The sequence below is a fragment of the Homo sapiens genome, chromosome 13 (assembly GCF_000001405.40).
Source record: "Homo sapiens chromosome 13, GRCh38.p14 Primary Assembly".
NCBI lineage: Eukaryota > Metazoa > Chordata > Mammalia > Primates > Hominidae > Homo > Homo sapiens.
In genome coordinates, this window is record NC_000013.11 from 111843442 (window position 1) to 111866076 (window position 22635).

At 49.0% G+C, this 22635-nt stretch overlaps 4 annotated features.

The window, feature by feature from the left end:
- Window positions 8440-9429: an enhancer, noted in NCBI's record as "H3K4me1 hESC enhancer chr13:112506195-112507184 (GRCh37/hg19 assembly coordinates)". NCBI's record gives its function as "activates a minimal SCP1, AML or CMV promoter by ChIP-STARR-seq in primed H9 embryonic stem cells {active_cell/tissue: H9 hESC(primed)}" and the evidence as "EXISTENCE:reporter gene assay evidence [ECO:0000049][PMID:30033119]".
- Window positions 9430-10419: an enhancer, noted in NCBI's record as "H3K4me1 hESC enhancer chr13:112507185-112508174 (GRCh37/hg19 assembly coordinates)". NCBI's record gives its function as "activates a minimal SCP1, AML or CMV promoter by ChIP-STARR-seq in primed H9 embryonic stem cells {active_cell/tissue: H9 hESC(primed)}" and the evidence as "EXISTENCE:reporter gene assay evidence [ECO:0000049][PMID:30033119]".
- Window positions 15673-16415: an enhancer, noted in NCBI's record as "H3K4me1 hESC enhancer chr13:112513428-112514170 (GRCh37/hg19 assembly coordinates)". NCBI's record gives its function as "activates a minimal SCP1, AML or CMV promoter by ChIP-STARR-seq in naive H9 embryonic stem cells {active_cell/tissue: H9 hESC(naive)}" and the evidence as "EXISTENCE:reporter gene assay evidence [ECO:0000049][PMID:30033119]".
- Window positions 16416-17157: an enhancer, noted in NCBI's record as "NANOG-H3K4me1 hESC enhancer chr13:112514171-112514912 (GRCh37/hg19 assembly coordinates)". NCBI's record gives its function as "activates a minimal SCP1, AML or CMV promoter by ChIP-STARR-seq in naive H9 embryonic stem cells {active_cell/tissue: H9 hESC(naive)}" and the evidence as "EXISTENCE:reporter gene assay evidence [ECO:0000049][PMID:30033119]".

Sequence of the window (22635 nt, forward strand, 5' to 3'; positions counted from 1 at the left end):
CAAATATAATTTTATTTTACAGATGCAGAATTTGGCACATAGACAATTACAATAGATCAGAGTACCAATATTGGCACGTCAATAATGCTGTAGGATTACAGCAAGTATTCATTGAATTCTTTCCATGCCTAGAGCTGTGGGTAACACTGGGAGCACAAACACTGACTTTTTAATGACATATTTCACGACAGCAAGAGGTTATTTTAACATCATATGCCAAAATCCAAATAAAATTTATTTTGTAATGTTTATGTTTTAAAAATCATTTTTCAAAAACCTGACATTTTATTTTTAAGGGATAAAAATATTGCTAATTGCCTTTATATTGATCTGTGGTTTCTGAAAAAAAAAATGGCATGTGTAATTGTCCCATAAAAGCATTTTAAAAGAAATGACAACATGTAAATTAAAATCTATCCCCTGAGGACATCAGCAGAAGCAATAAATTGATAGTGATGAATTTTGTTTCTCTCATCTCAAGTTTCTAGGGATATTTTTCATGCTATATCAATGATAATGAAAAAAAAGAAAATTAACATTTCAGGTTATAAAAATTATTTTCCTGAGAGTCAGGGCCACAATGTGAGTGTTTATTTTTACATAACTGTTTAGGCGTATGGTGGGGAGGTGGGATTAGGTAGCAATAAACATACAGAAAAGAACCTTATCAGCACTTTCCAACATGGTAGCCACTAGCCACATGTGGCTTTTTAAATTTAAATTTGAATTTAACTTATTCAAAATCAAATACAATTAAAAACTCAATTCTTCTTCCTCACTGGCCACGTTTCAGGTGCTCAACAGCCCTGTGTGGTTGGCGGCCACCGTCGTGCACGGGGTAGATGTACGGCGTTTCTGTCGTCACATAAAGGCCTCTCGACAGAGCCGTCCTGGGTACAACACCATCCTGGCTACAGAGCCGTCCCAGATACAGAGCCATCCCGGACACAGAGGTGTCCCGGGTACAGCGCCATCGCGGATACAGAGTCATCCCGGGCACAGAGCCTTCCTGGGTACAGAACTGTCCTGGGTACAGCACCATTCCGGGTACAGAGCCGTCCCGGGTACAGAGCCATCCCTCATACAGAGCTGTCCCAGACACAGAGGCATCCCGGGTACAGAGCCGTCCCGCGTACAGAGCCGTCCCGGATACAGAGCCGTCCTGGGTACAGAGCTGTCCTGGGTACAGAGCCTTCATGGGTACAGAACTGTCCTGGATACAGAGCCGTCCCGGGTACAACACCGTCCTGCGTACAGAGCCGTCCCGGATACAGAGCCGTCCTGGGTACAGAGCCTTCACGGGTACAGAACTGTCCTGGACACAGAGCCGTCCCAGGTACAGAGCCGTCCCGGGTACAGAGCCGTCCCGGGTACAACACCATCCTGCGTACAGAGCCGTCCTGGATACAGAGCCATCCCGGATACAGAGCCGTCCTGGGTACAGAGCCTTCATGGGTACAGGACTATCCTGGATACAGCGCCATTCGGGGTACAGAGCCATCCTGGGTGGGTCTCCGTGCTTTCAGTTGTCATCGGGCAGCAGCATCAGGTCTGGAACGCATCTCTGGCCCTTCATCTAGCCAGCCATTGTGTGTCAGAAGCATCCTCTTGTGTCAAATGCCATTTTTGAGATTATAAACATTGTGTCAGGTTTGATGCCTTCAGAGAAAATTACTCAGACTTTATATAAATATGTGTTCAAATATGGTTTTGAGAAGTTCGCTGACTCAGACCCCGCGAACTGTTAGGAGGTCCCTAAGACCCTGCAGCTGTGTCCCAGGGTACAAGGGTGGCCCCACACAGTGTCTGTGGGGCGGAGCTGGACGGATCCCATCTCCACGTGTCTCCTTCTCCAGCTCTAGTGTGACAACTGACTTAGGAACCAAACACCACTGCCATGCAGATGAGTCAAAACCCATGGGCTCCGCAAAGATTCCACAGGTTCTGGGTGGACATGGTATGGCCTTGCTAAAACAGGACATGGAACCAAAAGCAGGAGTCCCTTCCTTTAGGAAATGCCAGGGTCAGAACAAATAAGCTGACCTGGAATCGCTGCCCAGTAAGAAAGGAAGATCTGTTTCAGCCAACAGCTGCCCACCTCCCTTCTGGACCTAAAAGTCCTCTGTTGAAGCTGTCAGGCCTCAGAGTCAGGGCGCGTTGGCATCTCCCGGGGCATTTACCTGCACTGCCAAGGGAGTGATTCGTGAGTACTAAGAGGAGGTGCCCGCTCTCGCCGCGGGGTCCAGACCATTTCCGATGGATGGGGCGGAGGTTGCCTGCACTTCCTAGTGCTGTCTGCGGTCAGGCTTCCAGCTGCAGCAAGCCCCGGTGGGACCCACAGCCTTGAATTACGAAAATCACAGGCGCAGGACGCAGCCTCCATGCTGCAGAATGGGCACATGCTTTGTGCAGTGGTGACTTTCACACCAGACTGCGTGTGTGCCCTGTGTGGGTGTTCCTGGAGTGTGCCACGGGCCGTGTACCCTGCGTGGGTGTGCACAGGGTGTGCCACGGGCTGCGTGCCCCGCGTGGGTGTGCACGGGGTGTGCTGCCTGCACGCAGCTGCTGGCTGCTACCATTCTGCTCTTGTTTTGTTCCTTACAACCTCTTTGCACTGAAACCCAGATGCAAGTGAAATGGTCACAAAAGAAGTATCTGGGTTAAATGCGTGCTAAACAGGTTTAAAATTACAGCTCATTGTTTGGAAGCAGATGCAAGCCTCAAACAAATGCAAAACATCAATGCAGATGCAAACGGGAGGGCAATTTGAAAATTCAATCCTAAGTGCCTGATACTGTCAGGGGCGAACTGGGCTGGCTTCCCTGGGGGCCTTCGGCCGGAAGGGCCGGCCCCAGGAAGGACAGTGAGGGAGCCGTCTGCTCAGTGAGGGAGGGGTTGATAAGAGCAAAATCCACACCGCTCTTTGGCTTCCTTACAGTTCTCTAATTTCTCAAACAGCGTTAATGATATTTCTGATATCTTGGGAATGCCAAGAATAAAATGAGCTTCAAGCACATTCCTGTGATTTCCTTTGTGAGTAACTTTACGAGGGTGCCCAGAAGGGTTTTCTTTCTCCATATACCCAGAAGCTTCCATGCTTTCAGCAAGGAATGACCCACATTTAATCTTGGGTTGGGTTCATACACATTTCCTCTTTGTTTCCTCCCTGGATATGTTTTGCACGCCAGTGTTGCTCGCATGATTCGCAAGTCCCTAATAACAGGCTCATATTTATGCAGTCGGCCCTCAAGCCTGGCTTCATACGCAAATGCATGGGACATAATACCTGTATTTTATGATGACAACACCGATTATAGAACCTGGATCTGCTGTCCTGGAGTATTCCTGGCAAGTTCTCTGTTTTATAACTGCCCTATGGAGGCAGGGATCTAATGTTGATTGTTACGCGTTTGGCATTTTAATAAGCACTTGACTCTTGTCTCTAGGGGGTAGATATTGTTCCTTTTACTGACCAGTTAGGGCGGTGCAACTTGAGACAGGAAGCAGCTTGCCCAGGGGACACTGAGTGGGAAGCAGAGCCCCTCCCCTTCACCCAACCCAAACCCAGATCTGAGGCGGTCGCATCACACTGATGGCTCTGCCCACCTGGAAGGAAAGGGTTCACACCACACCATCGGCAACTCATTCTTTTTTGTTTTCAGTGTTTTAGTGTCAAGTCAATATTTGAAAAAAATAGAAGAGGTCATGTTTTACTTTTGCTATGTGACTTTTGATTAATCGAATGCTTTCTTTTTTATTTTTTAATTTTTTAATTGACAAAATTGCATATATTGTATACAACATGTTGTTTTGAAATATACATATATTGTGAAATGTTTAAATAGACTAATTATATGCATGGTCTCACATACCATTTTGTGTAGGAGAACACTTAAAATCTACTCTTAGTAATTTTCAAGAATATAATACATTGTTACTAACAATGTAGTCACCACCGTTGTACAATAGATCTCTTGAACTTGTTCTTCCTGTCTAGCTGAAAGTTTGTACCCTTTGACTAACATCTCTCCAGCACCTCACCCCCCTACCCACCGCCCCACCCCACAATCCCTCCACCCCAGTCCCTGGTAACCACCATTCTATCCTCTGCTTCTGTGACTTCAACTCTTTTAGCTCTTTTAGCTTCAACAAGTGAGATTGTGCAGTATTGGTATTTGTGCAGTTGGCTTATTTCACTTAATATAATGTCCTTCTGGTTCATCCATGCTGTCTCAAGTGAGAGGATCTCCTTCTTTAAGTCTGAATAATATTCCATTGTGTATGTGCCACATTTTCTTTATCCATTCATCCCTTGAAGGACACATAGGTTGATTCTATATTGGCTATATTGGCACTATTCAAGTGCTGCAGGGAATGTGGGGGTGCAGACAGCTCTTAGACTTACTGACTCCAATTCCTGTGGGTATATGCCTGCCTTTGGGACTGCTGAATCATATTGTGGTTGTATTTTTAGTTTTTGAGGAATCTCCATACTGTTCTCCATCATGGCTGTAGTAATTTACATTCCCACCGACAGGGTACAAGAGTCCCCTTTTCTCTGCATCCTCACCAAAACTTGTTATCTTTCGTCTTTGACAATGGCATTCTAACAGGTGGGAGGTGATGTGGCATTGTGGTTTTAATGTACATTTCTCTGATGATAAGTGATTTTGAGCATTTTTCATATACCTGTTGGACATTTGTCTGTCGTCTTTTGAGAAATGTCTATTCAGCTCTTTTGATCACTTTCTAATTGGGCTATTTATTTTCTTACTGTTGAGTTGTTTGAAGTTCTTTCATATCTTGGTACTAGCCACTTATCAGATGTGTGGTTTGCAGGTACATTTCCCATCTGTAGGCTGTCTCTTCACTCTGCTGATTGTTTCCTTTGCCATGAAGAAGCTTTTTATTAATATTTTGATGAAATCTCGTTTGTCTTTGTTGAATTTGCTTCCTGTGCTTTTGGGGTCATATCCAAAAAATCGTTGCCCAGATTAATGTCATGGAGCTTTTTCCTCTAGGTTTTCTTTTAGTAGTTTCACAGCTTCAGATCTTATGTTGAAATGCTTCATCCATTCAAGTTGATATTTATATATGGTGTGAGGTAAGGATGCAATTTCATTCTTCTGCATGTAGATATTCAGTTATCCCAACACCATGACATATATTCTTATTCCATGTAAGCTCTATAACTTTGCCATAACTTTGCCAAAAATACTGAAACTTAGCTCTCAGACCAATGGACTGCTTTAAATTATCTTCCCCTTTGCTACTTACTACAGTTTAATATAAAGAGAAATCTTAAAATACCTAAGTGCTGCTTAAAAACATAAACCTCCCTACCATTTGTAGATTATTCATACATCTCCTCTTCTTGGGGAGATGGAGGGAAGAGGTGGGTTCTAGAAGGCATTCTTCCCCAGCTATCTTCTGCTAATAGCAGGCTCCTGATTATCAAGCTGGAAGTGGAAGGGGCTGTGATGCTGTCAAAACTTATAAACTATTAGCTTCTTAATGATAATATATACTATCTGCTACTATTATACACAATAATATATACTAGTGAGTTTCCTATATATATTGACTATTTCACTTAACACCACACTACCAACATTTTACTTATTCAATACCTATTTAAGATTCTACTGCATGCCAGGCACCCTTCTAGGTGCAGAACATACAGCCGTGAACTGTGTCCTGTTGTCTTAAAAGGGGAAGATGGACACTAGCGAATCAACAAGCATGAGGACAGTAGATGTACACACAGGTTTAGGCACCACTGGAAAATTCAAAATAATGTAAGGCTCACATTTTCTCTATGTGTGTGTATATATATCACATTTTCTCTGTGTGTGTGTGTATATATATACACATATATACACATATATACGTATATACGTATATATGTATACATATATGTATATATACACATATATACATGTATATACGTGTATATATACACATATATACATATATACGTGTATATATATACACATATATACATGTATATATACACACATATATATACACATATATACATATATAAATATATACACATATATAATATATACACATATACACATATATACATATATATACACACACACATATGTACATCTACTTGTATGTATATGTATATACACTAGTATATATTATTGTGTATAATAGTAGCAGATATTATAGAGAGAGAGATGAGAGAGAGAGAGGTGGGATTTTGCTATGTTGCCCAGGTTGGTCTTGAATTCCTGACCTCAAGCAATCCTCTTGCTTCAGTCTCCTAAGTAGCTGGGACTATAGGTGTGATCCATCACACTGACTTCACACTATATTTTTAAACGTATGGCCTTGATCTCAAGAGGCAACAGTGCTTTTCCATTTCTATTTAACTACAAAGACTCCCAAAGTACTGCTCTTTGTACTGACCAGTTAGGGCAGTGCAACTTGAGACAGGAAGCAACTTGCCCAGGGGACCCTGAGTGGGAAGCCTGGCCTCGCCCTACTGGCTCTGACCTGGTGTTTGCCCATCACTGTATCCATGAAACAAGTCAGCCTTCCCGACATCGACTGGCTTTAAAAAAGCATCTGATAAAAATATGGTTACTTTTATTACCAAGAAAAATGTTAAAATAGGCTGGGCATGGTGGCTCATGCCTGTTACGCTAGTACTTTGGGAGGCTAAGGCAGGCAGATTGCTTGAGCTCAGGAGTTCAAGACCAGCCTGGACAACATGGAAAAATCCCATCTCCACAAAAAATTAGCCAGGCATAGGGGCCTATAGTCCCAGCTACATGAGGAGCTAAGACAGGAGGATCGCTTGAGCCTGGGAGGTCAAGGCTGCAGTGAGCCAAAATCATGCCCCTGCACTCCAGCGTGGGTGACAAAGAGAGACCCTGTTTCAAAAGAAAAAAAGAAAAAGAGAAATGTTAAAATACGTATGGACATAAAACTGTGTATCCTATGAAAAGCACATTTTGTACTGTAGCCTGAGTGAATATGTTACCCCTATGCTGAGTGCTGTCGTAACTTGCTTCCAAATGCTGAGCTTTTATTGTTTCAGTGTTCTTCTTCACAAAATTACCTCAGCTTTCTATGTGCTTAGTAACTGCTTTCTGGGCGAGTATTGCTTTGGGGTGCATTACCATGTGCTAGGAACGAGGAGAAAGTGTACCCTTCCCCACCCTCCTGCCCTGTGGTGCCCGTGTCCAGTGAACCTGGGTAGGCCCCTAGGCAGGCGAGGGGAGTGTGGGTGCCCGGGAGGCTGGCCTCCGGCAACACTGTTCCCTCCCTAGGGTTGTCTCCAAGGGCTGTTCCAAGGGTGCATGAAAACATTCCAATAGTTCTTGGAAGGAAAACAAATACATTCTACAAAATCTTTAAAAAAAACAATCTTTAAGGGATGCAGCCAGTCACTGCAGGATTCGCGCTGCCTCTGCTCTGCCACAACCACGAAACGTGTTTTCCTTCCGAGGAAAAACCCAAGGTGATTGGAAGTCAGCTTCACCCCATTCTTCTTGCCTTAATTTCAAGGCACCTTGAAGAAAAAAATAGACACCCTCCTCTCTGTGAAAGGAAAATCTTGGGGCACCAAATTACTAAGCCAAAGGAAAAAGTCCAGCTGGGAACTGTTCAGGGCAAACCTGCCTTCCATTCTATTCAAAGTCATCCCTCTGCTCACTGAGATAGATGCATATCTGATTGTCTGCTTTGGAAAGGCTAATCAGAAACTCAAAAGAATGTAACTGTTTGTCTCTCACCTTCCTGTGACCTGGAAGCCCCCTCCCTGCTTTGAGTTGTCCCCCCCTTTCCGGATGGAACCAATGTACTTCTTACATGTATTGATTGCTGTCTCACGTCTCCCTAAAATGTATAAAATCAAGCTGTGCCCCGACCACCTTGCGCACCTGTCGTCAGGACTTTCTGAGACTGTGTCATAGGTGTATCCTCAACCTTGGCAAAATAAACTTCCTAAATTAACTGAGACCTGTCTCAGATTATCAGACTTTACACCCCAAAATATCATTTATTTGTATGCAGAAGATCTCTAACTGGAGGCAAAGCATCCCTCTGTGTAACAGACACAGAAACAGCATTTGTGGGGTCAGATTACCATAAGACCAATCCCATTCCACTTTCAATTTCCCAAACATTTACAGAGAGACTGCTAATTACCCTAGCACTGGTCGGCTAGTACATCTCCCCTTAAAAATAAAAGTATAACAGGATAAAAACATGGTTAAAAATTGGTTGAATTAATTGCTAAACATCTTTAACAATGTTGGAAGCACAGCCAATGTTGAAGAGAGGATTTGGTTTCCTGGTCTAAAAACCAATATTGATTCTACTTGCCTGCACTTACCAAAGATATCTTTTCATGGAGAAACATTCCCATATGTGAAAACTTTTGGAAGCTAAAGTTCGTTAAATTCCATTGGACCCAGGTGGAGAGGGAGCACCTTCAGGCACCGGCACCAGGGGGTCTCCCTGACTTCGCTGCCTGCACCTGTACCTCCCTCTCCGCTCTTGATCAAGACCACAGTGTTGAGTCCCAGCACTTTGGGAAGCTGAGGCAGGAGGGTCATTAAGACCAGGAGTTTGAAAACCGCCTGGGCAAAAAAATTAGACCCTATCGCTACAAAAACAAAAAATTAGCCAGGCACAGTGGTGTGCACCTGTGATTCCAGCTCTATGGAGGCTGAGGCAGGAGGATTGACCTTGGGAGGTCGAGGCTGCAGTGAGCTGTGATCACACCACTGCACTCCAGCCTGGGTGATGGAGTAAGACCCTGTTTCAAAAAAAAAAGAAAAAAGGCCATGATGTTGGGCGTGTCCTCTGCAGGGAGGTTACTGCCCAGTGTGTTCTCCGTTGCCAAACAGGGCTGGCTCATGGTTCCTTTGGAAATGCTACGGCCCACAGGGCTCACGTGACCTCGAATGTATTGCCCATGAAGCCACCGAGGATGGGCATGTGCTGCTGCTCCAGCTCAGGCCTTGGTGCAGACCACACTGCCCTTGAAGGGAAGGGCTGCTGGCTTCCGGGTAACAGTGCCAAGTCCGGGAGATGCTAAACTCATGGACTAGGGGACTGAGGAAGGCTTACCCCTGGGGGGCAGCTGCGTGTTTTCTCTCCCCCTGAAACACAACACAGGGAGGAACAGAAATTCCTGCTGTGACAAAAAAAAAAAAAGTACCTCAATAGGAAACGGGCTCCAAATCCAGTGAATTTGAAAGATACGAGAGTGTTCTCTTCATGGGACCCTAAAAACCAGTTTCTCCACACCTTGGATGTTTAAAATGCAAAGTTACCTGAAAAAAGCAACTTGCAGGGTAAAGCTGTGCTTTGAATTCAGAAGTGTGAGGTTCAGGACGATTTAGAGCAGGGGTCTCCAGTCCCTGGGTTCCCACCCGTGAGCTGTTAGGAACTGGGCCACGTGTCAGGAGGTGGGCGGTGGGCGAGCGAGTGAAGCTTCGTCTGTATTTACAGCTGCTCCCATCACTCTCATGACCACCTAAGCTCCGCCTCCTGTCAGATGAGCAGCAGCATTAGATTCTCACAGGAGTGCAAACCCTATTGTGAACAGCACATGGAGGGCTCTAGGTTGTGGGCTCCTTATGAGAATCTAATGCCTCATCCTCTGAGGTGGAACATCCCAACACCATCCCCCCACCACCCCACCCCCCATCTGTGGAGAAATTGTCTTCCACAAAATTGGTCCCTGGTGCCAAAAAGGTTGGGGGCTGCTGATTTAGAATGTGGATGCGGTGACATCAACCCGCTGGCCTTCAGTCTGACAGCGTGGTGGAGCACCTGATGTAATCCACGTCTGCAGAGAAGACGGGGCACGCGTGGGTGTGAATTGCCCCCTCCCAGCAATTCACAGGCAATTCCAGGCGCGTCCTGGAGCGGGCTGGGGCTGTGGGCCTGATGTGTGGGCCTGCTGTGCCTCGGTCTCCTCACGGTGTGGAGGAGTGCCACTGTTTCTGTTTCTGGGGCTGGGCAGCCCTTTGCAACCCTCCAAAGCGACTCTTCCTGGTCGTGACGGTCTAAACACTGGAAGAAAACCACTGGAAACATATTTCCTGTATTAGTGAAATTACAATTTTTCACAAAAGAGAGTTGGGCCCTCAGGGCCGTGAAGACCATGTGACACTGTGCTGTTCTGCGTCCTATTAAATCCAAAAGGGGTCTTTTGTAAACCTTTCTCCTGTCGTCACCAGGGGAAACTGGAGCACGGTTAAATTCGTGAGGCTGTTTGCTGTGTACACAATGCTAAGCAGAAAATTGAAACCCAGGATTACTGGAGAAGAGACATTGTAGCCAGCAGTACAGCTGCATTATTTCTTCTTTATTAAGTCCAGACATGATAAAGAGCCCCGCTCCTCCCTGGGGTGTGGACAAGTGGATGTCTAGAACCCTTGCAGGCAACTATTATCTTGATAAATAGCCTGGTGGACGCACAGCCTCCCGTGTCCCCGCCTCAGAGCGCGGGAGTGCAGGTCCCATCCCACAAACAGCACTTGAGCCGTCACGAATGAGGGCACACAATACATCCAGGTATTAGTCACACAACTCGGGTCTAAGGGAGAAAGGCTGAGACGCCACGAGAGGTTAATCAATAGCAACCCCACCTGGAAAACGTGTTTTCAAAAACATTTTCACTTCCCACACTCCATTTTCCATTAGCAGAGAGCAGATGGAGCTCAGATGTCGGCCGTGTTGAACTTAGCCCAGGAAGGCGGTGGAGAGGGAGGATTTCTGGGAATCAGCAAGGTACAAGGCCTTCCATTTACATGTGGGTTCAGGCTGCAGGGAGCGCCCAGAGACTCCAACTTGCTCTGGGATGAAGGCCGTCTCTCCAGTCTCCTGTTCAGTGAGAAGCTCCTTCGGTTCCTGTAATTATCTTGTCCTTGAAATGGCCTCACTCTTGCTCCCAGGTGAAGCCGTGGACAGCAGGCATGGGGGGTTAGTATCAGAGAGGGGGCATCGGCCTCCCCAGGGCTGGGATGAGTCAGGTAGACACAAGGACCCCACACAAATAGGTCAATGTCATCGAAGAAAAGCACCAGCTCGGCACAACTCACAGCTCAACAGCAAACCATCCCAAAGCCTCGGGCTCCTTATTCGACCACGGGAATAAAAACAGCGGCCTGGTGGGGGTGCCAAATGCTTCCATGGCTTTGTGGAGCTGTGTGGGCTGCAGCTGCTCATGGCTCCACTGCACCCCGTGTCAGACACTCGACATCTAGCACGGTGGGGCGTGGGGACGGAGCAGCTTTGATGGAGAGGGGCCACAGAGACCATCCTGGCCAGAGGTTTCCTGTGTGGGTGACTCTGCCTCCTGCGGGCATTTGGGACTGGGGGTGGAGGGCATTTGGGACTGGCGGTGGACTAGGGCTCCTGGACACGGTGGATGGAATCAGGATGCTGAAGGGCCTGTGATCTGGGGCCAACCCTGGCCAAAATGCCAGCTGAGCAAACCAGGAGCAAACCTCTGTATTTTACATGGGAGAAACTGAGGCTCAGGGAAGTACAGTGAAGATCCAGAAAGAGAGCAGCTTTGGAGAGCGGACGGAGGGCACGAGGGCACCCAGATGGAGAGGGGCTGGGGCTCACACCCTGCAAACGCAGGGTCCTGAGCCCCCACACCTGATTCATTGTTGTTATTTGGGGCATTTTTGAGACAGAGTCTCGCTCTGTTACCCAGGCTGGAATGCAGTGGCGCGATCACAGCTCACCGCAGCCTTGACCTCCTGAGCTCCAGGGACTCTCCCACCTCAGCCTCCCAGGTAGCTGGGACCATGGACACGTGACACCATGTCTGGATAATTTTTTTGTTTTTATTGTAGTGATAGGGTCTCCCTATGTTGCCCAGGCTGGTCTCAAACTCCTGGGATCAAGCGATCCTCCTGCCTCACCTCCCAAAGTGCTGGCATTACAGGTGTGAGCCACCGCGCCCGGCCACCACGTATCTTGTGAGGGGGTCTTACCACCCCCATATTAGTCACAGAACTGAGGCTGGAGATGTAGCTAATTTCACCGCATCACACAGCTGCGAAGGGCAGAGTGTGGATCTAAAGTCCCTGCTCCTTTCACCAGGGCAGACACACTTCAAAGAAGCTCTTCCTGCCTTGGTGTTTGTTCACAGCCCAGGCTTGTTTTTAAAGTAAGGCAGCAATTTCCTAAACCACCAGAAGCACTGGGACAGGGGAGTTCTGGTGGTAAATGATGTGATCCAACATGATCAGGAAATATGGCCTAGTGTATCCTCCTTGGATATTTAAAAAAAAAAATCCATAAATGTGCTGATTCGTCTACAGTGAAGGCTTCGTGTAATTAGTGTTTTCACTCATCCTGTTAATAGTGAAAAGTGCTAGGAGAAACCTGAGTGCCCGCCGTGCCAGTCAGCACTGACTCAGCCACAAGGAACAGCAAAGCTGAACGTGGGTGCACACACACCAGTGAGTTTTTCTCACAGCACCAGAGGTCCTGAGGCTGCGGCACTGGCATCTAGACAGCCTGGGGGCCCTGACCCTGCAAATCTTCTGAGCCTCCTCATGGCTACAAGAGGGCTGCAGCGTTGCCACCGTCTCCATGCCATCCACTTGCAAGGCAGGAACGGGAGACATGGCCAAGGGGGATGGAAGGTGAGGTGGGCAAGGTGCTGGCCACTTCCTGCATTGGATGGGACATGGGGCTGGGCAGTGCTCCTGCCAGAGAGCAGGTGCTGCAGAGCATCACAGCCTCGCAGCAAGAGCCATGGAGGGGGGGACAGTGATGACAACCCCAGTCCCTCTTCCCATGCAATGTATAGGGGATATGAGGTATGGTTAGTTCTAGATTTCTATAACTTACTCTATGTATATATTTATGGCTACCCGACCTGTACATTATGTATGTTATTTCTATTTGTAGGCGAGACATTGAACGCATTACAAAGCACAGGCGATGCGGTCACAGGCTGCAGACTCCCTTGGTCTCCACCTTGGTGGTGGGGAGGGTGCTCAGTGTGTTTTCTGAAGCAGGAGGCCCCCAGGGCACTCCCATGAGTTTTGGTGGAAAGTCTAGAAATGGGGTTCCTGGGGTGCTTCTTCTCTGGGGTTCTCTAAAGGCTGTGCAGGTGGAACTATGCTGTGTCAACTGTCAGCGATGAGCTGTGGCTGCAGGAAAGGTGGGGGACACCGCCCTGCTGCTGCCCTGGAGGCCCTGGTGTGGAGGTCCCAGTGTGGAGGTCCCGGTGTGGAGGCCCCAGTGTGGAGGCCCCGGTGTGGAGGCTGCTGCCCTGGAGGCCCAGGTATGGAGGCCATGGGGCTGATCCAAGCGGAGGCTCTCAGCTGCCCGAGGCCCTGAGTGCACCCGGCAGGAGCCGAGGGCATCCTGCTGTTTGGAGCCAGATGAAGACCCCCTATCCTTCCGGGGGTCTGTGGTGCCAAGACAAAGTGGGACCACACCTGAGGCTAATGTGCACGCCCAGTGCTGCCTGGGGAGTCAGGGGATGCACAGGGCCACAGCCAGGCCGGCCCCAGTGGCAATTCATCCTGGCTGAGCCCCCCGTCACCTCCTCCTGCAGTCTCTCTCCTCTTCCTTCCCCAGCTGCCCACTGAGGGCATCGCCTGCCAGTCCCGGGAAATCCACGCCAGACCAGGAGGAAGGGCAGGAAGATAAGTGGCTCTGAGTGTTGGGAACAACACAAGGATGAGCCTTCAGTTTCACTTTGTTATACAACTTGACTGTTCATACATGTTACATGCATTTCTAGTGATGCATAGGATGGAGTGTGACTGTTCATAGATGTTACATACATGCATTTCTAGTGATGCATAGGACAGGGCATAGGACTGTTCATACATGTTACATACATGCATTTCTAGTGCTTCATCGGACAGGGTGTAGGACTGTTCATACGTGTAACGTACATGCATTTCTAGTGATGCATAGGACAGGGCGTGTGACTGTTCATACATGTTACATGCGTTTCTAGTGATGCATAGGACACGGAGTGGAGGAGCACGTTTCCTGAGGGAATCGGGAGTCCTCTGGAATCTGGAACTCTGCTCTGGCTGTGCTGTGGTGAAGGTGCCACTGGGCATCCCGGGGGCATTTCCAGCCGTCGTCGTTAGGGGAGTTTCCAGTGGTGGTTAGGGATGGGGAACGGGGAACCTCTCTGGTGGTCGTTAGGAGGCGGGGGGATGTCTCTGGTGGTCCTTAGGGGATGGGGGGACGTCTCTGGTGGGCGTTAGGGGACAGGGAACAGGGGACATCTCTGGTAGTCGTTAGGGGATGGGGGATGTCTATGGCGGGTGTTGGGGGATGGGGGGATGTATCTGGCAGTTGTTAGGGGACGGGGGCACGTCTCTGGCGGGTGTTAGGGGATGGGGAGATGTCTCTGGCGGTCGTTAGGGGAGGGAGGACCTATCTAGTGGTCATTAGAAAGACATCACAGCAGGCGTAGCTTGAGATGTTGATCTGGGAGTCATCAGTCCGAGAAAGCCTCTAGGCTGCCGTAGCACACACAGTGGGGTCTTAACCACAGAAATGCATTTTCTCCTGATTCTGGAGGCTGGGAGTCTGAGGCCGGGTGTGGGCAGGACGAGTTTTCCTGAGGCCTTTCTCCCCGGTGTGTGGACGCCGTCTTCTTCCGGGGGCCTCCACCCGCCGTCCCTGTGTGCGTGTCTGTGTCCCAATCTTCTTCTCTTGTAAAAGAAACGAGTCCGGCTGGATTAGGGCCCACCTCCATGCCCTCATTTTTCATTAATTACCTCTTTAAGGCCCTATCTCCAAACCATCACATTCTGAAGTGTGGGGCCTCGGGCTTCAGCGTGTTCATTGTGGGAGACGTGATTCAGCTGTGACAGTGTCTAGTGCCACGGAACGGGTGGACACGGGGCTTGGAGAAGCAGCCTTTGCGGGGCCTTGTTCACTGGGACACTTTGCACGTCATCGCCTTGGTGCTTCCGGCACCCCTGTCTCCTACGTCCTCGGAAACGGGCGGGTCACACGCCACGTCCTGAGAAGCTCTTGAGCAGCGCTGCATGGAGCTCACCTGGATTCCTCCTTCCTCCGTCTTGCTCTGGGGAGGAGGCTTTGCTCTCCATTGGCTTGAAAATTTATTTCCTGATTTACCCCCTCCAATCTCAGGAAGTCCCCAAATCTATCGGAATCACAAGGCCACCCTGGGAACCGTGGCTGCCAGACTCTTCACCCTGCTTGGCTGTCGGAGGCCTCTGTATTCCCTGCCCTGGGAGGGGCATGCGGGAAAGATCTGGGGCCCCTGCGTGCCAGCTCCCAGTGTGGCTGGAGGGCAAGGGCAGGTCCCCGTCCTCACGCTCCCTGTAGAAAGAGCCGCTGCACCCCCGTGACCGCTCCATGCTGGGGGCAGAGCTGGCGAGAAGCTCGAAAGTAGGGGACTGGGCCTGGTGCGGGGGCTCACGCCTGTAATCCCAGCACTTTGGGAGGCCAAGCAGGTGGATCATGAGGTCAGGAGTTCAAGACCAGCCTGGCCAAGATGGTGAAACCTTGCCTCTACTAAAAATACAAAAATTAGCCAGGCACAGTGGCAGGTGCCTGTAATCCCAGCTACTCAGGAGGCTGAGGCAGGAGAATTGCTTAAACCCAGGAGGCGGAGGTTGCAGTGAGCCGAGATCGCACCACTGCATTCCAGCCTGGGAGAGAGAGCAAGACTCTGTCTCAAAAAAAAAAAAAAAAGAAAGAAAGAAAGAAAGAAAGAAAGTACGGGACTGGAGGTTACAGCTGCCTGGGAGGCAGCCTGCAGGCACAGCCAATTCGTTGTTTGCAGTATAGTTATGGTCTATAAGGACCCCGCAGACACTGCATTAGCAGATCCCAAGACATTTCTCCAGGGGAAATGCGGGGTTAGGTTCCTGTGGGCCTCTGGTGAGCCAATCAATATATAACCTGACTTGCATGTGTCTGCTTAAAGACACCTTATTCAACGTACTGTTGATTCATTAACACTGAACCTGCACCCAGCAGCTGAATGAAGCTCCCCTAAGGCCCCCCAGCCTCTCCTGCTCAGGACACAAGACAGCACCAGGCACAGGGCCATTCCAAACAGCAAAGTCACCGGCGAAGAGCACCAAGTGTGGAAAGCTGGGCACTACGGAGGCCTCGGCCCTGTTTACAGTAAGCGCTGAAATGGGGGGGCAGCGCGCCCTGGCTGTCTCTCAGCGGGAGGGGCACATGCATGGCTCAGGTTCTCCTCCACTCTGCCCACCTCTGCAGATGGCCACGAGTCATTTTAGTGGGCAGGTGAATTCACAAATACAGAACCCGTGCATACTGGGGATCCGCTAAATACACGTCCTAGGAGATCAGAGACTTCTCCAAAGGCAGGCAGCCTAGCAGCAGGTCTTGGAGAGGAGGCTCCGGTTCACGCCCTGGCCCTGCCCTGTGGCTATGTGGCCTTGCTAAGGTTATTAACCTCTCAGCACTCCACTGTCCCTGTCTGTAAGATGGAGTGATTTATGTAACTCCAGGACACAGTGTCAAAGTGAGGTCTGAGTGGCATCATGCCTACAAAGCTTGCCTGGTGCCTGAAGCAGCCTCACTTCTGCCAATGTTAATTGCTGTTATTGTGCTGTTTTGTTATCGTCACCCCCTGCAGAACCTCAGGCTCACCTAAGAGAGAGGACTTGCTGACTGCAGTGTCCAGGGCGCTTCCAGGCCTAGGCAGGCTCTTACTGAAGACGAAGTATCTGATGTTTCTGAAGCCTGAATTCAAGGACAAAGCAAATTGCTCCTCTTCTTATTTAATCTGTACATCTTCAGGCTGCACATTTTCCTATTTGAGATCTGAACTAAATATAGAGAGCCTGTTTCTAAATTTAGTACGATGAATCTCTCTGTTCAATTCTGGAGCTTTTCACTGTCACCAACCAGCACTCCCCACAGAGGTTTAATGATGCAGGCCTTTGATGTGAGCTGAGAGAAAGTGCCCTCTATCAGGGCTGCAGTCTGGGAACAGGAGGGGGAGGGAAAAGGCCCTGAGACCCTCTGCAGAGAGGACAGGGAGAGACGAAGTCACAAGGGAGAAGCTCTCCTACCTGGTATTTGACTCTCCCTGGTTTCTCCCAGAGGAAAGGTCATGTGAACCACGGTGGGAAAAAGGGCAATAACCAAAGAATCAAAAATAATGATGCATATTTGGTGAGAAGGTGACATGGGCTAGAACAACTCTGATTTGTCCTGGAGAGACATGGAAATTGGCATGAATTTAGTAACAGGCTGAGGCAAACAATTAGCCTTTGGGAAGGGAACTAATCACACACTCATTGGGAAAAGTACTTACCAGTTATAATTAGGATTAGCACCTAAAAAAAAAAAAATGAAAGAACGGAACTAGAGCTGGTGTGATAGACATATGGTCTACAGGAATCCAAAACCTTCCCTGATTTCTGCTTTATCATTCTTTGGGGGGCAGGGTGGTCCTTACTCTCATGGTCCAGAATGGCTGCTGATGCTCCAGCCATCAAGTCATGTTCCCAACAGCAGGATGGAGGGGATAAGAAAAATGGTGTACTCCTTCCCTTTTCAAGAGACTACTCTGAGGTCTCATGGAACACACAACTTCTGCTTACACCTCATTGGAAAAAACTTGGTCACATGGTCACATATAATTGCAGAGAAGACCAGGAAATAGTGTAGCAATGTGCTCAGTGAAAAATCATGGTTTAGTTAATTTTGGAAAAAACGGAAAAGGATATTTGGAAGGTAAATGGATGTTTAGAAAGAAGGGACATGGATATTTGGAAGGTAAATGGATGTTTAGAAAGAAGGGACATGGATATTTGGAAGGTAAATGGATGTTTAGAAAGAAGGGACATGGATATTTGGAATGGTACATCAGGCATTCCCCAGAATGAATACGTAACTAGGTGAGCATTCACAACCCTCTGAGAAGGAATATGACAACTGCCTTAGAATCATCCGCAGTCGAGTCTTTGTGGGAGTTAGAGGAGAAAAACTAGGAATGTGGCTGTCAGAAAATATCTGCAGTGACACCCTCTAGGTAAATCAGTGACCACAATGGCACCATGCAGTGGGGAGGGGATTGGCCTTCCTAACAGGATATTGAATTACCGTATTGGTTAAAAGAAGGATGAGGGAGGGGTTGACCTGTTATGGAATTGGTCATGGGAAAATTGCTCCCCAGGAGTAATTAGTGTGCTGCCTAGAGAGGCTGCTTTCAAAAGAGAGGCCATCCTTACACTTGCTCAGTGGACCTGAGCCCCGAAGGACAGCCCGTCTTACACAGGTGCGCACCGCACACGTAGAGGAGGGTTGCACTGCCTCAGCCTCCAGGCGCGATCCACCGTGTGCTTCCATCAGCGTTAAAAATGACCTGAGAGAGAAGACATAGAGATTACCAGAAAAAGCACAATCAGGATTTCCTACAGTGTTCAAGCTCTGTGGGGAGAACGATGGAAGTGGAGGGAAAGAAGGATACGGGGGTAGGACATGCAGACGCAGGAAGAGGGCATCAGCAAGATGCGGGAGCGAAACCCTCCACAGGCAGGAACGCACAGCCTTCTGGTGCACCAAGCCTTCAGGCTTTTCTTCCTCTGCCGCTTTCCTCTGCTCTCACTGCCCTCCTAGTTGGGCTTAGACTAGTGCTATGCTGGGAAATATTTAAAATCCAGCCCAGGGAGTAGGGTTGCTGATTTGCAGCATTGGCCAATTTCTGTGGTGTAAATGCTCCCTGGAGGCAGATTTCCTGCAGCCAGTGTGACGTCACTGAACTCAGAGCTGAAAAGAGTCACACAGTAACCGCCATGGGGCAGCAGTTCAGCCTTCCAGACGGCATGATTCAAAATATCCTCAATACCAGCCCAGGCAACCTGGTGAAACCCTGTCTCTACAAAGAACACAGAAATTAGCCAGGCGTGGTAGCACATGCCTGTAGTCCCAGCTCCTTGGGAGGATCGCTGGAGCCTGGGAGGCAGAGGTGGCACTGAGCTGAGATGTTGCCACCGCCCTCCAGCCTGGGCAGCAGAGTGAGACCCTGTCTCAAAAAAAATAAATAACCTCAAGACCACAGATAGCAGTAAAGTGCTCTAATATAATCAGGAGGTGATGCTTTCTGAATGTTTACCTTGTTAAAAAAACACCATTTATTTAATGTAAGGTTGTATGGCTTGATCTTTATTTTTAATAATGGCGAAGTTCTGATGAGAGGCTTGGCTGCTCTGACAGCTTCCGAAATACCTGTTCATTGGTGCCTTATGAATGTGTGTTCACTTATGTATCATTATGTCTGAAGAAATGACATTCTTACTCCACGGGTGAGCCCTCTTCTCCACGGCATTAAAGTGTCATTTGTAACTTAACCTCTTGTTAACGAAGAGATACATGAACTTGTTGCCAAAATGACTTTTTGACTCTCACTGCCTTCGGTCTTCTCTCTGCAGGTGCTGCTATCACCACAGAGCAGCCCGATTGCGGCTGGCGTGTGCCTGAGCTGGCTGTCCCTCTGGCCACATGTCCGGTGCTACAGGGTCTTCAAGGGTGTGTGGGGCTGGGCAGCATCCGCCAGGCCCAGGCCCCGGGAACTGAAGGTGTTTCCTCCACGTCAGCCTCTGCACCTCCTAAGCACACACCTGCTGCAGGTGCCGGGAGTCAGTGCCTGAGACACCTGAGGACGCCTCCTCCTTGAAGGCTGGAGTCGACTGACTGCATCTTGTACTGATTTTGCGGGGATTTCTGGTCTTTTTTATCCAATGCACGCTGGTCCCCGCCGCTGCTGGAGTGAGGCTGGTTGTCTCTGAGTGGGCTCTGCACCCTCACAGCAGGCATCCTGACCCCTTTCTTTCCCACTCCAAGCTCACATGCTGGATCCCGCACCACAGACAGCCCCGAGGCCGCGCTCACAAGACCAGATGGCCAGCTCGCCATTTCTACCTTTCGGTGTCCAGGAGTTTTTCTTTTGTCTTTACTTGTTTATTGAGGAATGAAGAGTCAATGAAGACTGATCAAGACACTGCCTTGAAAGGGTTTCATGGGCAAAGAACAAAAGCAAATCAAAGGGTTCATCCAGGCAAGGGGCTGACGCTCTTCCCCTGTTGGGGAGGAGGAACAGATGAGGGCGGGGAGGACACAGCCCAGGACTCACAAGGCCCTGCCGTCCACATTTCCTGAGAACTGCGAAGCATCGTGCAGCCACGAGTTTCCCCAGACACCAGCACCCATCCCCAGGCCTGCGGGTCAGTGATTCTAGCTCATCTGATGGGCCGTCCATAGGGAAGGGATGGGCCCGCAGACCTGCCTGTTTGGTTGATTGAAGTGGGACCTCTTTCACGACGAACGCCAGATTGAAATTCATCACAGCAAATGCCTAAGTTTGGAGAACAATATATTTATAGTGAGCTGATTAGATATCAGATGCACCTTTTCTCAACAAGTCGTTCTCTCACCCGTCTGATTTCTAACCTCCTGAAGAGCAAAACCTGTCACCGACCCAGGAGCAGCAGGCAGAAGAGAAATTCCAAAACATCCTGAAGAGCAAGAGGCTCTGTGGAAAATACCAGGGCTTGTGCAGGCGGGGGAGCTCACCGCCCTGGGCCAGAAGCCCCTCACCTGGAGGCAGCGGGTGCTGCCCTGAGTCAGGGCCCACAGGAGGCTTCTGGGCACAGACACACCCTGCAGAGAGGGTCCTGCTGGAACGCTTTGACATTTCTAGGATCTGGACTGTCCACGGGGAGAGACCAGGAGGGCATGAGAAATACGCTGAGTTGGGGCCGGGTGCAGTGGCTCATGCCTGTCATCCTAGCACTTTGGGAGGCCAAGACGGGTGGATCACATGAGGCTAGGAGTTTGAGACCAGCTTGGCCAGCATGATGAAACCCCGTATCTACTAAAAATACAAATATTAGCTGGGCTTGATGGTGCACACCTGTAGTCCCAGCTACTTGGGAGGCTGAAGCAGGAGAATCACTTGAACTTGGGAGGCTGAGGCAGGAGAATCACTTGAACTTGGGAGGCTGAGGCAGGAGAATCACTTGAACCCAGGAGGCGGAGGAGGTTGCAGTGAGCAGAAATCGTGCCACTGCTCTCCAGCCTGGGCTACAGAGTAAGACTCTGTCTCAAAAAGAAAAAAAAAAAGAAACACACTGAGTTGGAACTCACTATATCACAAACATTGAGGCCTACTTGCATAACACAGTTGTTCCAAGCAACAAATGTCACCAAATGCACGCACTGTCGCCCAGTGTGACGTTTCTAAGGTGAATGCACAATGCGAGGACATGGAAGCCTGGAGGATGCGGGAAAGGCGCGTGTGGCCTGTGCTGGGCACCTCCCATCAGCCAGATGCACCTGCGCTCCTGGAGGATGTAGGAAAGGGGCATGTGGCCTGTGCTGGGCACCTCCCGTCAGCCAGACGCTCCTGCACTCCCACCCCGGCCATTCCCTTTCCTTTCTTCCGCCAACTCTTCACATAGCCCATGATTTTGGGGGGAAGAATTATTTACCAAATTTTTAAATCCATTTTTTCTTCCTCAATCTAGACTAATTTCTCAGGTCTGAGGCCTGGAAAGCTTTATTCCCCAGGCCACTGAACTGCCCTCCTGGAGAGCGGGCCAGTGCTATGATTGCCTCTGAGGCCGTTTGAACCTGGAGCTCCCTTTCCTCTCCTACTAAAATCCAGAAGAACGAGAGGTAAATAAACAAGGCTCTCCCAGACAGCATGGGGCAATGAGCCTGTTTCCTGAAGTCCCAGTGGCCACACAGCTGAACCTTGCAAACTTCTTATCAAACTCTCAGCCCAAGAACAATTAGCCAGGATCAACACCCCAGCAAAGGTCATTTGGGTTTGGATTACAAATTGCCATCACCTCAGAGAAGAGGAGAGGGGATCTGTTTGAGAAGAATGTTTCTCTGCAGCTAAGGATTAGCAGGCATCCACAAGCCCGCCCTGCAGAGATCTTCGAAAGGTAAGGCGTGTGCGTGCTTCCTGGGTTGGCTGCGGAAAGGGCTTCTCCAGGATGCAGCCAGATGGACAGGTCTGTGGAGCACTCACTTCTGTGAGGACAATTATCTTGTGTTCCTGAGGGATTGGGGTTTCATCTCTAGGACTCACATAATGTTGCTGCCATTTTCTGTTCCTTCCACTCTCAATTGCTCAGGTGAGGAGTCCTGGATGCATCATGAATTCACTTGGGTTCATGGGTCTCATTGATAGAGGAGAATCTCATCTGTTTGTTTCATGATTTAAAAAGTGGGGGGCTCTGGGAAATAAACCAACAGTATTAGGACACATTAAATGTTATAAATGACATTTAATGGAAAATGTTATAAATGGGATCCAATTCGTTTTAGAAAGCATTTCAATTTAGAGTACGCAGCTTAAATAAACTGGCTTTTCCTGGATCAGGGAAAGAATGAGGTCCAGGAGGTGCAGGATCCCAGTGAACAGCCACGGCCTCCTTGGGAAAACAGAGTATCTGAAATGATGAGGGAAAGGGATGTGGATTTAGCAAACCTTACAAGTTTCACCTGAAACAGAAGACGGCTGCGTGAGGGGAGTTTCCCCTAGTGTTCCCCTTGGCTCCCGGTGTGCCGGCTGGTTGTCCTGCCGCAGGCATTCCCCCCGTCTCCTGCTCAGCTTCCTTGGGCAGGGGGTGAGGG